This window comes from Homo sapiens, chromosome 13, assembly GCF_000001405.40.
Source record: "Homo sapiens chromosome 13, GRCh38.p14 Primary Assembly".
Classification (NCBI taxonomy): Eukaryota; Metazoa; Chordata; class Mammalia; order Primates; family Hominidae; genus Homo; species Homo sapiens.
In genome coordinates this window covers 49,248,768-49,265,541 of record NC_000013.11, presented here as the reverse complement: position 1 = coordinate 49,265,541, position 16,774 = coordinate 49,248,768, and the positions used below count along the sequence as shown (strand labels likewise).

Sequence of the window (16,774 nt, the reverse complement as noted above, 5' to 3'; positions counted from 1 at the left end):
TATTTGGATTAATAGTAAAAGGAAAAACAATAGTTATCAGCAATATCACTGGAAAATTAAGAAGAGTGGAAGGACAAAACTGAGCAGCAGAATTCGTATAGACATTTAAATTTAAATTCTAAAAGCCCAATTGAGATTTTCAGGGAGGGTTTGTTCTGCCCTTTGGCCTCATGAATGAGTTTCATGAAGGGTTTCATGGATGGGCTTCAGTGGCCTATAAACTCTGTAAATTCCATTCTAATTTTTGCACATTTATTGTGTTCTGGTTAATTCCAGAAGACATTTCTAACATTTTTCTTACATCATATAATCAAAGTACTTAAATAAATTGACAATTATAAAAATAGATCAGTGAAATGCACCTTATACTTTAATAAAAAATGTTTTCAGAAATAGATAAGTGAAAGCTGAGTGTTTCTTTGATAGATTCCCCTGTACTATAGGAGTGATAATTGCAGCTATTGCAATAGTAGTAATTGTTAAATGGATACTAATGAATAGCATAGCATAGTGGGTAAGAGTTTATATAGCACAGGCTCTAGAATCAGATTAAGTAGGTTCAAATACCAGTTCTGCCAGTAACTGGCTTTAGAAACTTGGGCAAGTTAAATAATGTCTCCCAGCCTCAGTTTCCCTATTTGTAAAATGGGGGAAATAATGGTAGCTACCTCATAATTCATTATGAATTCAGTGAGTTAAACTTGAAAAGACTTATTACAGTAGCTGGCACATAAAGACTTGATAGTAGTTTATATGGATGCTATCTCATATTAGCATACATGGAATTAATAGTGTATCACTATACCTTTTTTTTTTTTTTTAAATAGAGACCAGTCTGTCACCCAAGCTGGAGTGCAGTGGTGACATCATAGCTCACTGTAACTTCTAACTCCCATACTCTACCAATCCTCCTGCCTCAGCCTCCAGATTGGCTGTGATTGCAGGTGTGCACCACCACACCCAGCTCTTTTTTTTTTTTTTTTTTTGGTAGAGATGGGGTCTCGCTATGTTGCCCAGGCTGGTCTTGGGCTCCTGACCTGAGGTGGTCCTCCCACTGGCCTCACAATGTTGGGATTGCAGGTGTGGGCCACTGCGCCTGACCTGTACTATGCTATCAATTCCATATATGGAAAGGTGTTTTCCCTTTCAGAGCTCTTTAAAGCTCTGCAGAAGATTTACATGTGTTTATAGAGTTAAGAGAAATCAGGGCATGGAAATTGAGTGTGTAATAGAAATTAAACTCTTCATGTTATATAATCATGCATAATTTCTATCTTCATTCTCCGAAGTTGCCTAAAGCACCATCACAGTTAGGAAACTTCCATTGTGAATTACGTTATTGCCAAAAGCAAGTACCCAAATAATTGTCTCAAGAGAGGAAGGACAAAACTGTTACAAGCTAAAATATTTGGGGATTTGTGTGACTTGACTAGGGAACCACAGGGTTTTATAATGCCTGATCTAGCCCTGTGCCTAACAGTTTATTTAAATCTTAATGCTAATGTTAATTAGTTCCCAGGTGGTTGACCTTATAAGAAAACACTGTGTGGTATTTTAATGTGGTAAACATGTGAATGAAGGCCTATGGCTCAGTTAATCACTCCCACAACTTTGAGCTGTGGGTTTTACTGGTGGAAGGAACTTTAACAGGTCTTCGCTCTTGTCATTAGATATCAGAGAACTGAAATTGGTTGGAATTGTAAGCAGTGAATAGATGTGTTGTTAGAATGATTCCATCACTTATACATTGTTTAAAATTCTAATAAAGTAACTTGCTTTGTAAAAAAAAAAATTTGGCTTAATAGAAGACAACTGGATGCTCAAATTTGCTTCTGTTTTCAATCTGTTGCAATATGTTGTTTTCATTGAAGTATACGAAAATTATCTGGCCTCATATAGATATGTGGTTGAAAAAGGAGTATTTTAACAGCCATTTCAGATACTTGTGAATATTCTTCTTTGGCACTACATAAAAATTTGACAAGGGATAGTTTCTTAAAGGTTAGTTACAATGTAGAATCTGAAACCATATCAACAAACTTTTTGAACTGTTACGTTAAAGTCCGTTGGTCTGTCTTGCACTTAGAATGGCTTTTACTCATGCATGATTTTGTAGCATTGTGCATTGGTCATCCGGAAAACAATGATTTACTGATTTTACAATATTAAAAAAAATCCCGTTCATTAATATCACCACCAATCCCATCAAAAGAGTCTAAGTGGTGAGATGCTGTCAGGCTCATAATAGAGAATATGAGTTTTCCAAAATTCTAATTTTCACTTGATAGCTCAAATTTTATCACTGGCAACAAATACTGTCAGTTGTTTATCTGAAAGTGACAGGTTCACTATATTTTCAAGAAAATATCTGCCAAATATCCAAGTCTAACTAACCATTGTCAGTTCATGATGTTCCATTAAAAAAGTAGATAAGTCAGTCTGCAACTCAAACAATCACATACATGGTTTTCCTTAAAGCCATCTTCATACCTTAGGTCTGTAGCAAAAGCACTTTATACCCACCTCCTGTTTCCTCACACAGAATATTAAAAAGATGCAGACTCAAGTTGGGATTTAATAAAATTGATACTTTTTACTGTTTCATCAAGGACCTTCTTATGTAAAACTGGTTTTCTTTTTTCCCTCTGAGTGCAGTGAAGAGTATGACGACTACCAGGGCAGTTTGGCACCACTGTCTTAATGATATGGAAACAGGCTGGGTGCAGTGGTTCACGCCTGTAATCCCAGCACTTTCGGAGGCTGAGGTGGGCAGATCATGAGTCAGAAGTTCGAGATCAGCCTGACCAACATGGTGAAGCCTTGTCTCTACTAAAAATACAAAAATTAGCCGGGCATGCTGGTGCACGCTTGTAATCCCAGCTACTCAGGAGGCTGAGGCAGGGGAATCGCTTGAACCTGGGAGGCGGGGGTTGCAATGAGCTGAAATTGTGCCACTGCACTCCAGCCTGGGTGACAGAGCGAGACTCTGTCTCAAAAAAAAATAAAATAAAAATAAAGATACGGAAACAGTAGTTTTACCTATCATTGTTTTGGTACCATTAGTATGAATGTAGTGTTTTTGTTTTTGCTTTTTGGGACAGGGTCTCACTCTGTGGCCCAGGCTGGAGTGCATTGGTGAGGCACGATCACAGCTCACCGCAACCTTTGCATCCTAGGCTCCAGTGGTCCTCCCACCTCAGCCTCCCGAGTAGCTGGGACTACAGGCATGCACCACCACGCCTAGCTAATTTTTCTATTTTTAGTAGATATGGGGTTTCTCCATATTGCCCTGACTGGTCTCAAACTCCTGGGCTCAAGCAATCCACTTGCCTCAGCCTCACAAAATGTTGGGACTAGAGGCATGAGCCACCATGCCCAACCTGAAGGTAGTATTATTATGAAAATAACATTGACCTCGTGGACCATCAGGAGTCCACAGACCACACTTGGAGAACCACTGTGCTACAACAATCTTTGCCTTATAACTGAGGTAATAGCAATTCTAACTAAAGTAATCTAGCTATAGCATGGGGTTCAACCATGCCCCCTTCCTAAGATAACTAAATATAATACATAAGCCTAATCTAACATAGCAATTTTGTTTATATATTGTCCAACACCAATACACAAGCATTTCCACTGTAGGTCCTTCCTGACTTTCCATACTTCATTATCTTTTTTGTCAGGATGAAATGTCTTAAGACATCAAGCAGTGATGAGTTACCTGCACTCTCCTATTCTTCCCTCTAATTTGTGGCTCCGAGGCTATTAAGACTGCTTTCAGCACAGTTAGCTCAGCACAAAGCACAACTATCTTTTATTCATTTTTCTCCCTTGATCTGGAACAGATCAGCCAACAAATGTTTTGGTTCTTTCACATTCTTTCATTTCTGTATCAATGTCATCATCTGAACCCTATTTGGACCTTGCCTAATGCAATAGTCTACTAATCAAGCTCCCAATCTCTAATCTCTCCCTGCTCCAATTCAATAACAGCAATAACAACAAAAATTTCAATCACGTTACATCTTTCTCAAGAATCTTCAATGTCTCCACATTACCTACAAACAGGAACTGTAGGTCAGTTGAACATGAGTGATGAAATGCATGTCCAATCTGCCTGGTTAATTGGGAAAAGGTGAAAAAAATGCCACCACCACTTTCATACCTATCTTCTCAATGTATTGGTAACTGCAGTTGAGAATATAGAATCCAATCACTACCACAGATACCTACCTGCTCGAAATACTTGTTGCAGGCCGAGAGGTTTCTAGCCACATGATCCATTTCTTCTAGAAGTTCTGCCATTTATAGCTCAAGGCACTGACCTTGACATAGATCTGATCATTACTCTTAAGGCTTTGCTGTAAATAAAAATAGCTCTTTCTCACAACAGGCCTAGGAACTCTGTTTTATAAGATAAAGTCCAAAGGCTCTACAGTTCTTCAAAGTTCTCCACTATCACTATAATTCATCTGCCACTGTTCTCCAAGAATAATTCTCCATTTCAAATACTGACCCCTAGAACTTTGCTTCTTACAACTTGATGACTCCATATACACTGTTCCCCCTGACCAGGAATGTGTTCCTCTTCCTCTACCTATGACGCATCAAGATCAAGCTTAAGCCCCAGCCTTTCATAATATGGAAATCTGCAGGGATCACTATTTCTCCTCTGAGACCAAATATCACTTACAACCTGTATCGCTGATTTGGTACTAGATAATGCATCATATTAAATTGTTATTTTGGCCCCCAAATAACACCTCGAGAGTAAAGATTAGGAACCACATTAGTTTTTTTTGTTTTTTGATCTACCATGATGCCTATGCAACAAGATGCATATTTTTTAAATGAAAGAATGATCGGCATATACCTGGGTGCAAAACAGAATCATAAGCACAAGGAGGTTTAGTGAATAGCCTGGTGTGGACGGATGGCTATACATTAAAAATTTGTGTTCCTCCTTCCAAAGTGTATAGTAGTCACTGAAAGACAGCTGCCCAGTGGGAACAACAGTTCCCACAATGGATGAGAACAGAAATGATGTATGTGACTTCCAGGTCAGGGTTTTTAAGAAGCAGGTTCACCCTCTCTACTCATTCTTTCTCAGTCTGCCTCTGGATACAGAGGACTCAAAGCCCTAGAGGTGACAACAGCAATGAGACAGAAGATGCCTAGCCCAGGAATCAACCAAATGGAGAAAGCTGCCTGCTGTTTAGCAACACATGTGCTGGACTATTATACAGGTGATAAATATCTAGTACATAAGTCACTGAAATTTTGTTTTGTTATAGCAGTTAGCATTAGTCTACTCATACACTGAGGGTCATTTAATAGGTTAGTAGACATGAATGAGACCAGAATCCATGTTTTCTGATGCTTACTCTTATAATGTATCAAACTGTCTTCAGATATATATTTACATATTTTTTATTTTATTTTTTAGAGACAGGGTCTTGCTCTGTCACTCAGGCTGGAGTGCAGTGGAGCAATCATAGCTCACTACAGCCTTGAACTCCCGGGCTTGAGCAATTCTCCTGCCTCAGCCTTCTGAGTAGCTGGGATTACAGGTGCAAGCCATAGCACCTGACTTTCAGATATATATTTCTAAATTATCTCTGTGGTATTTAGCAAATGTGTTCCCACTGACTGCTCTCAGAGAAACGCTCCTTTCTTCGTTTTTTTTTTTCTGGAGACAAGGTCTTGTTCTGTCACCCAGCTTAGAGTGCAGTGGCGCAATCACGGGTCATTGTATCCTTGACATCCTGGGCTCAAGCAATCCTCCCACCTCATTATCTCAAGTAGTGGGGACTACAGGCGTGCATCACCATGCCTAGCTAACTTATTTTTTGTAGTGATGAGGTCTCCCTATGTTGCACAGGCTATTTGTGAACTCCTGGGCTCAGGCGATCCTCCTGCCTTGTCCTCCCAAAGTGCTGGGATGACAGGCATAAACCACCACGCCCATCCCAGATAAATACTCTTAATCCCCAACAAACCCTTTTCTGCACTTACCATTTACAATCATTTTCAAACAAGCAGAACATGGTTTTCTGGAAAAATAAAGATCACAGTTTTTCAGCCTTGACCCATGTTTAATAAGAGCAATCTGCCCGGCATGTAAATCTTCACTAGAACAGTGGAGACCAACAATTTTCATGTTTTTCACCACCACAAGACCAGTTCTCTTTACCTACATTAAGATATAAAATAACAACTTATTAGTTATAACACCTAATAATCATATTATGGATTATACTTGAATTATTAATAAAAATGGAAGTTTTGTTTAATTCTTTATCTAAACAGAGTTTGTACAAAGCACATTTCTCATTAGATCCAAAAAGCTTCTGAAACTTTAGTGTTGACTTTAGGCCAGAAATTTTCTAAACCTAGGCTCTACTAATCAAACAATTAAGCATGTAATTATCATTAATTTGTTCTAGTGAAAGATTAGATACATTATAACCTAGTAAAGGGCAAGAACTAGATCAATTTGACTTGTTTCTTATAGGATTAAGTGTAGTACCATTTAGTATTAAGCTTCTAGATGGTAATAAAGAATATAAAGCCCTGATTTTACACATGGATAAGTAAAGCCCAGAAAGTTTACATGACTTTCTGAAAGACCCACAGATGGTAAAAGGCAGAACTAAAGCAGAGGTCATCTTAAATTCTAAAATATTTTAGATATTGACCAAAGAAAAGATAATTCTCAATTTCTTTTGAGAAACTACTGGCTGTATCAATTTTTAGCACTATGGCAGTCTAGACTACTATAGTTAGGTCCCACCTCCTACTATAGGTAAGTTATAAAAACAAAAAGAAGGAAGACATACCATCAAGTGTCAAAAAGGATGAGAGAACTTGATGTCAGAGTAGTGAGCTTGAGCTACCTTAGCAATATTCCACAGAGCAGGGACTGGCTGAGCCTGAATTAAGCCCTGCAGACTGGTTACTGACTGGGGTTCTAAGCACTTCCAGTGGATCTCTTTGAGTGAAGGTTTTGTGTTACTATTGAACCTAAAGTTTCTCAACTTAAACAAATACTAATCAAAGCTGGTATAACAATATCAGATAAAACAGACTAAGGTTAAAAAAAAAAGTCAGTTCTGCATAAGGCACAAAACAGTCTATGCTGTTTTCACAGCAAAAGCCTCTGAAGTAAGGAATGTAAACCTGATCCTTGGGCTTGGGACTGACTGTTACATGAGGGGAGCTTGGGCTAAGGAGAGGGTGTCCCTATTCCCCATCCCCTTCCAAAGGGATTTAACCCTATACTTATCCCCCAATACAGCATATCTGAAATCACTTTAAGGATCAGACCAAAGCGATATTAACTAGTCAAGTTTCAGTTTCGGTTTTGAGTATGAATGTTTGAGATTACGGAGAATAATTTGTAAACTATCTAAAAAAGAAGGAACAGAGAAGATTTTATGGAATTCCATTTCTGAGTTAACCAACCATCTCCTAAACTAGAAGGACATTTATAAAGGAATACAAAAATCTCTGCTTTACAAAATATGTACCTAAGGATGTATATAAAATATGAAAAACCTATCTATATTGGCTTTTAAAATAAGCTTTAAATTGACCTTGAATTTGTGAACACTTTCCCCTCCCTACCAAAATTTCTTGAGTTTTATGCTCCTCAAATGCGAAGCATATATTATTATTGATTTCTGAATACTTTCAATAAGTTTGTTTATTTATTTATTTGAGACAGAGTCTCACTCTGTCGCCCAGGCTGGACTGATTGATTGATTGATTGATTGATTTGAGACAGTCTCACTCTGTCGCCCAGGCTGGAGTGCAGTGGCACTATCTCGGCTCACTGCAAGCTCCGCCTCCCGGGTTCATGCCATTCTCCTGCCTCAGCCCGTGGAGTAGCTGAGTAGCTGCCACCACGCCCGGCTAATTTTTTGCATTTTTAGTAGAGATGGGGTTTCACCATGTTAGCCAGGATGGTCTCGATCTCTGGATCTCGTGATCCGCCCGCCTCGGCCTCCCAAAGTGCTGGGATTACAGGCGTGAGCCACCGTGCCCGGCCAATACGTATCATCTTGGAAAAGAAGTAATGCTGCCTCATCAAAAGATCTTGACAGAGCTCCTATTGTTAAATTGAACCAACGTAACCAGTGGAAGTGGCTGCAAGGGAATGATTTCAGCTTTAGATTTTCCTAGTTAAACAGACAGAAATAAAGCCAGAATAAAACATAAAAAAAAAAATTGTTCCTATCAAGTGAGAAGCACACTCATCAACTTATTTGTTATTAGAACAATCTTTTGGGTCGAGTTTATTTATCACTTTTTTGTCTAGAGTCCTTTTTACCTCAGAAAATATGTATTTTTTCATTTTGCATCTAGGTAAGGCCAAAATACCAAGTTTGAGACAAAGATTTTTCCATCCCAAACTCAATAAAACAAATAAAAGCTCAAGTTGCATTCCATTTTGGCACTTCCATTTACCACAACTCCCAGAGGACTGAATCTTTTCAGTGAATCGCTGCTCTGAATTTGATTTTGCCTCACTTCGCTAACATTTTGGCAAGTCATCTGTTTGATCCTAGTCACAGAGTTTTACACTAAAACATGGGCAAAAGGGTACAGTCTGTTTTGTATATGGACTAGTACATTGACTTAAATGGTGATTCACTATTTTTTTTCCCTTGGCCTTTCTTATTATGAAAACATGTAAATATTCTGAGACAAATTATTTCTATATTCCTACTGGGCTCACTCTCAGAATGAATTAGGAAATCTCTAGGAATATACATCGGAATCATCAAGGTAACTCTTCAAAACATACATGCTTAGTCTCCACTCTGCATCCAATGAATCGGAACCTCTGGAAAACTCAAAGGAATAAAGTAACAAGGAAATACTATACAATATTAAAAAGAACAAGGTTCATCTTTCAAGTCTGCACTTTGATTTTACCCTACTTACCAACTAATAAGTTAACCTGTTACTGTTTCATGGATATTAGCAGAAAACATGAAACTTCTGGGTTAGAAACAATGAACTTTATTATTTGCAGCACAGCAGTCAGTATGAGCATCATTTCTGTTTCCTGCCCTCAAGCCCCATGAGGGGTAATACAAATGGGCACAGATGGCTGCCTGGACACAGGGTGGGTAGTGTTATAGGAGAGGAACACTGAGCTTGAGGGTCCTACTGTTTCACAGCAGAAAGTAAGCCAGATTGCTTTTTGTCCTGGAGGGAGATATTACCTCAACCTTCAGGGTTGATCACTGCAAACACAACTCTGAGAAATGACCCAGGTAAAAAATGGTTAGGGCCTTGCATTCTTGGCATACCCAGCAAGGTGTGTGGGAGTGTGAGAGAACTAAGGGAGAGTATTTCTTAACACATCTATATGAACCATCAAGAGTTTTTTTTTTTTTAAAGCAAGATGTAGGATGTAGCATAGAATAATCCCATCTGTACTTTTTTTTTTAAAAAAAAGGAGTGACATATAGTCTTGTAAATATACAGACCATTTTTAGAAGAGTATTTTAAAAACTCCCTTGATAGTAGAAATGGAGGCACTTTTATTCTACTTTATACTATTCCTTTTGCTTTGTTATTATGAGCATATATATGTGAAATCATAAAAATTTACCTGTCTTTTGTCAGTAGATACTCTGGTCCTCTCTTCATTATCTCCTAAGGGTCCATGCTTTCCCTCTTCATTTTTCTAATAAAAATCAGATTAAGGAAAAAAAAAGATTAGCACATAAGACATATGACTAATTCAATATTCCCATATTTAAAGGCTGGCTTCCTTGGCTTTGACCATTTTTTTTTCCATGATGAAACTCTACATTGACTTCCCACTTTGTTTGGATCAAGTTCATACTACTTTACCTAGTAAATAAACCTTTATAATCTATCCCCTATGTACTTTCCCAAAACATAGAAGGATTGGAAATTGTAATGAGAAAATAAAATTCTGAAGTTTATGGTTTCAGAATTGTGGCAGTTTTGAGTAATGGAAAAGTCCAAAGTGTGGCCATGAATGACTAAAGTGGAATAGAGGTAAATTAACTGGAATTGAGAAGATAAGGAACTATGTAGCAAAGGTATTAGATCGGGATTGTGGTAGGCAGGATAATGCCCCGCCAGAGATTTCCTTGTCCCAGTCACTGGAGCCTGTGACTATGTTTTGTTACATGGCAAGGAGGAATCAGTTTGCAGCTGGAACTGAGGCACTAACCACCTACCTTGACATAGGGAGATTATCCTTGATTATCTGATTGGCCCGATGTTATCACAAGGGTCATTATGAGTAAAAGAGGGGTGTGGGAGAGTCAGCGATGCAACATGAAAGACCTGACTGGCCATTGCTGGCTTTGAAGATGGAAGGGGCCCATGAGCCAAGGAAAACAGACAATCTCCACAGGTAGAAAAGGCAAGGAAAGGTCCTCCCGTAGAGTGTCTGAAGGGAATTTGGCTCTGCCAACACTTTGATTTTAGCCCAGTAAGGCTCATTTCAGACCTCTTACCTACAGAACTGTATAATAAATTTGTGTTGTTTTAAGCCACCAACTTTGTGGTCATCTGTTATAGCAGCAATAGAAAACGAATACAGGTATATCCATGAGGGAAAAAGTGAAAACTTGAAGTAGAAAGAAAGTTTTGAGGCAGGGACCAAAGTCCTTCATTTATTAGTTCAACAAATACTTATTGAACCCTTGCTACATGACAGCCTAGTTGCTCAAGATGCAGCTCTCACAGGGCTTATGATTTATGAAAACAGGAAAGTGACTATGAAGTAAGTTGATTAAGACAAAGAAAGTGACACAGAATTCTGTGAGCTCCAAAATAGGTGAGATAGCCAGGTGCAGTGGCTCACACCTGTAATCCCAGCACTTTGGGAGGCTAAGGCGGACAGATCACGAGGTCAAGAGTTCGAGACCAGCCTGGCCAACATAGTGAAACCCTGTCTCTACTAAAAATACAAAAATTAGCTGGGCATGGTGGTGCGCACCTGTAGTCCCAGCTACTCGGGAGGCTGAGGCAGGAGAATTGCTTGAACCCGGGAGATGGAGGTTGCAGTGAGCCGAGATCACGCCACTGCACTCCAGCCTGGGCAACACAGCAAGACTCTGTTTCAAAAAAAAAAAAAAAAGGGTGGGATAGTTAATACATTGATAAAGTTTTAAAGTAGGAATGGGAAACTTTGTAAATGTTGACCTGCTAGTCTTATGAAACAAGTGCTGGATGCTAGAAAAGAAAGAACCATCAAAAAGAAGTTTATAAGAAAACCCATGTTCTGGGAATGAGGTTTCTGTTCAGACAGAACAGGAAGTAGAGGAAGTGATGGTATCAGTGGAAAAACGGTAAGGATGTGGGTGCTAGTAGTGGTAATAATTATATATATGAGTGATGATAATAACAGTACCTAACATCTACTGCATGTTTATCATGTACCAGGCCCTAAATTATCTCATTTAATCCTTATAACTTTATAAAGTAGCTCCTATTATTCCCATTGTACAAATGAGGAAATTGTGGCTGAGAGAGATTAAATAATTCAACCATGGTCACACAGGTAATTAAGTGGATATGCCAGATCCAGCCCAAGATCCATTGTCTTAACCATTATGCCACATTGCTTCTGTTCTGGAAAAGTACAGTGAGGGCCTTTAGCATAAGGTACCAGAAGACACAATGGAAAGAGTTAGGAGGCTAGGTGCGGTGGCTCATGCCTGTAATCCTACCACTTCGGGAGGCTGAGGCGGGTGGACTGCTTGAGCCCAGGAGTTAGCGACCAGTCTGGGCAACATGGCAAGACCACATCTCTATTAAAATAAATACATAAACAAATAAATAAATAAGGAGACAACAACAACAACAACAAACACATAGTACCTAACATGTGCCAGGCACTAAGACCTTTACAAATATTAACTCATTCATTTCTCATAAAAGCCTCATGTAGTATATACTAGTAACATTTCATTTTACAGATGAGGAAGCTGACACAGAGAGGTAGAGTTACCCAAAGTTATACAACTAGTAAGAGGCGGAGCCAGAGTCTGAACCCAGGCAGGCTGGCTGTAAAACCACTGGCTACTCTAAATTACTAGACTAAGGTGCTGCTCCAATGTTTATACTAGCATTACAGCATAAGTATTTTCTTATGTTAAGTGAAAAGGGTAGGATCCAGAGTTAAATGATCTCATGTAAGTAAAGAAAGTAAGAGAAAAAAGACTGAGAAACAATTTTTAAAAAGTAATTAGTCTCTAGGAGGTGGAATTATGATAAAATTTTTCTTCTGTCCATTTTAAAAATAACAAACATATATTACTTTGGTAACTCATAAAAATACTTTTAGTAAGACAAATGTTGGTAAAGTATCAAAAGCAGTATTTCCAATACAATTACATGTCTAATTGCATCTTGGTATTTCTGTGATTTACTCTGTACAACAAAAGCAGACTAAAGAATTTAAGTGAAACAATCTTATTACTTTAGCTTAAAGAAGACTTTTTTTCTCTTAATTGGAAAAAGTTTGTACTCAACTCTAAGAATACCATGTGCAAATAATACTGGAAAAAATATACTATAGTAAATGGTAAAGAAATATTAGGCACAAAATTGGGCAACATTTTGAGAAATTTAATATTTCCACAAGTATAAACACAATGGCAGCATATACTACATGCATATGAAATTTAGATGTATTCTTACTGTATAATTTAAAATTAATAACTTATCAACCCTGTAACAGTACCAAAACTGTCAAATACAAAATTGTGTTCCTGCTATGACTGCAACTACCTGCAAAATTATGTGGATATTAACTAGTACAAAAAGGAAATCCAAGAGAAAAAAATAGTTTTTAAAAATGTTGCAGCTATAAATTCAGTTTCAATGATAATGTTTGTACAATAAATAACACTATAAAAGTGGAGTACAATATGCTCCCTTTCATTCTGTATTCTTCCCCCACACTATCATTGGTCTTGCTTTTTTGCAATGGCCATGATATCAGAAGAACTAATGAAATTATATACTTCTGCTTTATTGACATTAAATATACAAGTAATTGACAACCTACAATCATGTTCTAAATACTTGGTAAATCTCCCTTTTCGGAATTTAAAACACATTTTTCTCATATAAACAATGTTAAAAATGATAGTCAAGTTCCCAAGTTAACATGCAAAAGCCTCTTTCACCCAGATCACTGCCAGAGTAATCCTGAGGCTCTCCCTCCCCAAGTGCCTTGGAGTCCCAAGCCCTGTAGGTAAGAACAGAAGTAAAGGCCTACCCAAGACCATGGTGAGAGGGTTGTAGTCCTAGGACACATGGGTATGGGAGCACAGCTGGAAAGACACCAATGCAGTGAATAGGAGCTGGGCATGCTCCAGGACCAGGAGCTAAGAGTGATAACCTTTCATATAGCCAAGTCAATCCTAGTTCCAGGTTGCCTGGCTTTCTGAAGACATGGATGTTCTTTGTTTTGATGCCTTCTGTACTCATTTCTATGTGTTATAACTTTCCATTTAAAAGCCTTAAATAGACATGCGTATGAGTCAGATTTCTAAATAAGATCCCAAATAAAATATCTGAAACAAAAGACTTATTTATTTTCATTTAGAAAACTTCCATGGTGCCCACCAGATGAAGGAATGAGATGCCAGGAAAACTTAAGAGTTGTTGGCTTGGGAGAAAATGAGAGTCATAACCTTGATCTTTTGTTAAACATGATATAAAGTTGTATAAAATTTTGTTGCTAATATAGTTTTGAAATTTCCTTGGTAGTATTTTTTTTAACAAAATGCTAACTGAAAGCTTCATCTCAGTTTTCTCAGATCCACAGCTTTCTCTATATAGTATGAGGAAACAGTAGGGTGTGTATTATTTGCAAATAAACTTCAACAATTAGTTGGCCAATCAATTCCTTCCTAATAGAAACATAAATGTCATTTCTCACTAATTAAATACAACTTGTGCCTGTTGAAAAAAAAAACTTAATTTCAGCACAGGATGTGGTGTGTATATAAAAAAACAGAACTAAAACGAGATCACATCTGGATATTTACAAAAAAAAGAACGCCTTTTCAAAATTTGTATTCAATCTCTAATATGTCCAGTTTTTATACGTTTTTTTTTCTTTTTTTTTTCTTTTTTTTTCTGTCGCCAGGCTGGAGTGCAGTGGCGTGATCTCAGCTCAATGCAATCTCTGCCTCCTGGGTTCAAGTGTTTCTCCTGCCTCAGCCTCCTAAGTAGCTGGGACTACAGGCACGCACCACCACGCCCAGCTACTTTTTGTATTTTTGGCAGAGACGGGGTTTCACCATGTTGGCCAAGATGGTCTCGATCTCTTGACCTTGTGATCTGCCTGCCTCGGCCTCCCAAAGTGCTGGGATTACAGGCATGAGCCACTGCACCCGGCCTAAAAGTCTTAAACCTCTAAATATTTGTTTCTAATCTGGCTCTTCAAAATAAATTTTATCTGAAAACAAAACAAAACAAAACAAAAAAAACACAACACTACATAAAATCCCTAACAGCTTGGAAATCTACTTTCATAAAATAATACTAAACTATTAACAAGTAGAAGGAATAAAGGAATTTCAAAATTAATGAAGGAAATGAAGAGCTTTCTCAGCCGTTAATAACATGTAGAGCCAGAGTGGGGGGATGAGGGTGAGAAATATGGAATAACGATGTATAATATTTTAAATAATGTTTTACTATCTATAAAACACTTCACATAGGAATTGGGGGAGGAAACTACACCAAGAGATATCATTTTATTATGAGAAGCGAATATCCTCACATCCTGTTAAAATTCCTCAATGCAATTCCTATATTGATAAGATAAAATCTAAACTCCTTTGCAAGGCATACAATGCTTTTTATGATATGATTCCTGTCTACATTGTCAAGCTCCTTTCCAGTCTCTTCCCTCTACCTAACTTCACTTTCTGGCCTGAGGACCACAAATTCTCTCATTGCTCCAAGCTTTTCCATGTAGAGTTCCTTGGCTTGGGCAAAAGTCCACTAATCCTTCATGTCTCAGTGCAAATACGACCTTCTCTGTGAATCCTTCCTTCACTTCCCCATATAGAGCCTGGCTCCCAGTCTTGCCAACATCTCTGCTTATACTATGTACTCACTCCACCAATTCTGTTTTAATTGTTTAAATGCCTAGTGTTTCTACTCATTAGAAAATAAAGACCATGTTTTTTCTGCTTTGTGTCTCCAGTGCCAAGCACAAAACCTCATCCACAGTAAAATGAAAAGAGTAGGTGGTCTCCTAAGAGTACTGTGGGAATTTAAGGATTTATAGTCTTTCTCTGGAAAATCTAAAGCAACCTTTCAGCAGAATTATGGGCAAGTTGGAAACCTCAGCGAGTACATGCAGAATATAACTACAACTTTGTAAGAGTAAAAATAAAAAACCTCATGCTTAAGATTGGAAGCACCAAAATATTAACAGTAATGTTGTTAGAGTGGTGAGAAGCCATGTGTAATTTTCTGCCCCACCCCCCTCATTTTACCTCTGTTTTAAAAAAAGTCTTAAATGCTCAACTTAACCTAATACTATTTTCCAATGGCCGTGGCCCCCTATAAAAATTAATGCCAACACCCTAAGCTTCCAAAATTATCAAACAGAAATGATGAGAACCTAGCATCATGCCATTCCAAGCATGGAGGAAAATGAGAACCTAGCCCCTTGTTGCCCCAAGGGTAGGAGAAAGAAAAGACGCAGGATGTTTATACTTCCAATTCCAATATATTGGCTTTTATGATTATTCTTACTATACATTTCTGATTTTTTTTTTGAGATGGAGTCTTGCTCTGTCACCCAGGCTGGAGTGCAGTGGTGCAATCTCAGCTCACTGTAACCTCCAACGATTCGTTCAAGCGATTCTCATGCCTCAGCCTCCCGCGTAACTGGGACTACAGGCGGATACCACCACTCCTGGCTAATTTTTGTATGTTTAATAGAGATGGGGTTTCACTATGTTGCCCAGGCTGGTTTTGAACTCCTGACCTCAGGTGATCCACCCACCTCAGCCTCACAAAGTGCTAGGATTACAGGCGTGAGCCACTGCACACAGCCCATTTCTAATCTGTTTTGATCCTGTCTTTCAAGATCCAAAAAGAGACTACTTCCATCCAACATTAATCAATTAGCACTCATATAATGCTAGACTCTAAAGGGTATATGCTAGGTAAAATAAGACATGGTCTCTATCTCCAGGCAATTTATATATTTCTGTGGCAGAGGAGTAAACTACCTAGATAAAACACCAACAGTATATATAATTGGGGGAAATTATGTGGTATAGACAATAATCTTATTAGCCGAACTGACATATGAATACCATTAGTACCCGATAAACATGGTATTCTCAGAAAGTATTTTTAGAATGGAAGATGACTTATTACGGCTGGGAATTATAAAGTGTCATGTTAATCAATAAAGATATTTTTTAAATCTTAAGCCTTGTTAAGTTTGGTTTTAGGTATGACAGAAACTGGAGCAATAAACTCAGATTTTAAACCACTGCTTTTCTAAGGGGAAAAACTATGAAACAAATTATACCTGAGATTTTTGCCGCTGGGCTTCTGCTGGAAAGAGCTCCATCCAGAGGCTGAGCAGAGTGAAAAGGTTGACTTTAGAAAGCCTTGGTATCTGACCTACAAAAGAGACGACAAACACTTTAAACTTTGTTACTAATGGTGAAAAAGGGAGCCAATCTCAATGCCACTTAGGTGCTGCAGCCTAAGCCCAGCTGCTTTC

General features: G+C 38.1%; 1 protein-coding gene across 8 annotated transcripts in view; it reads right to left on the bottom strand.

Moving 5' to 3' along the window:
* Positions 1-16,774, bottom strand: part of CDADC1 (cytidine and dCMP deaminase domain containing 1) — a 45,561-nt gene that overhangs the window by 27,944 nt on the left and 843 nt on the right. For 4 of the 8 annotated variants that reach the window (NM_030911.4, NM_001193478.2, XM_011535251.2 and 1 more), the window contains exons 2-4: positions 16,577-16,671; positions 9,629-9,703; positions 6,019-6,196 (exon numbers count right to left, since the gene is read on the bottom strand). In NM_030911.4, coding sequence (NP_112173.1) covers positions 6,019-6,196; positions 9,629-9,703; positions 16,577-16,671 — 348 coding nt within the window. Of the gene's footprint in view, positions 1-4,236; positions 4,327-6,018; positions 6,197-9,628; positions 9,704-16,576; positions 16,672-16,774 lie in introns of those variants that run through there. The other 4 variants (XM_047430689.1, NR_036439.2, XM_047430692.1 and 1 more) reach the window with 4 other exon arrangements.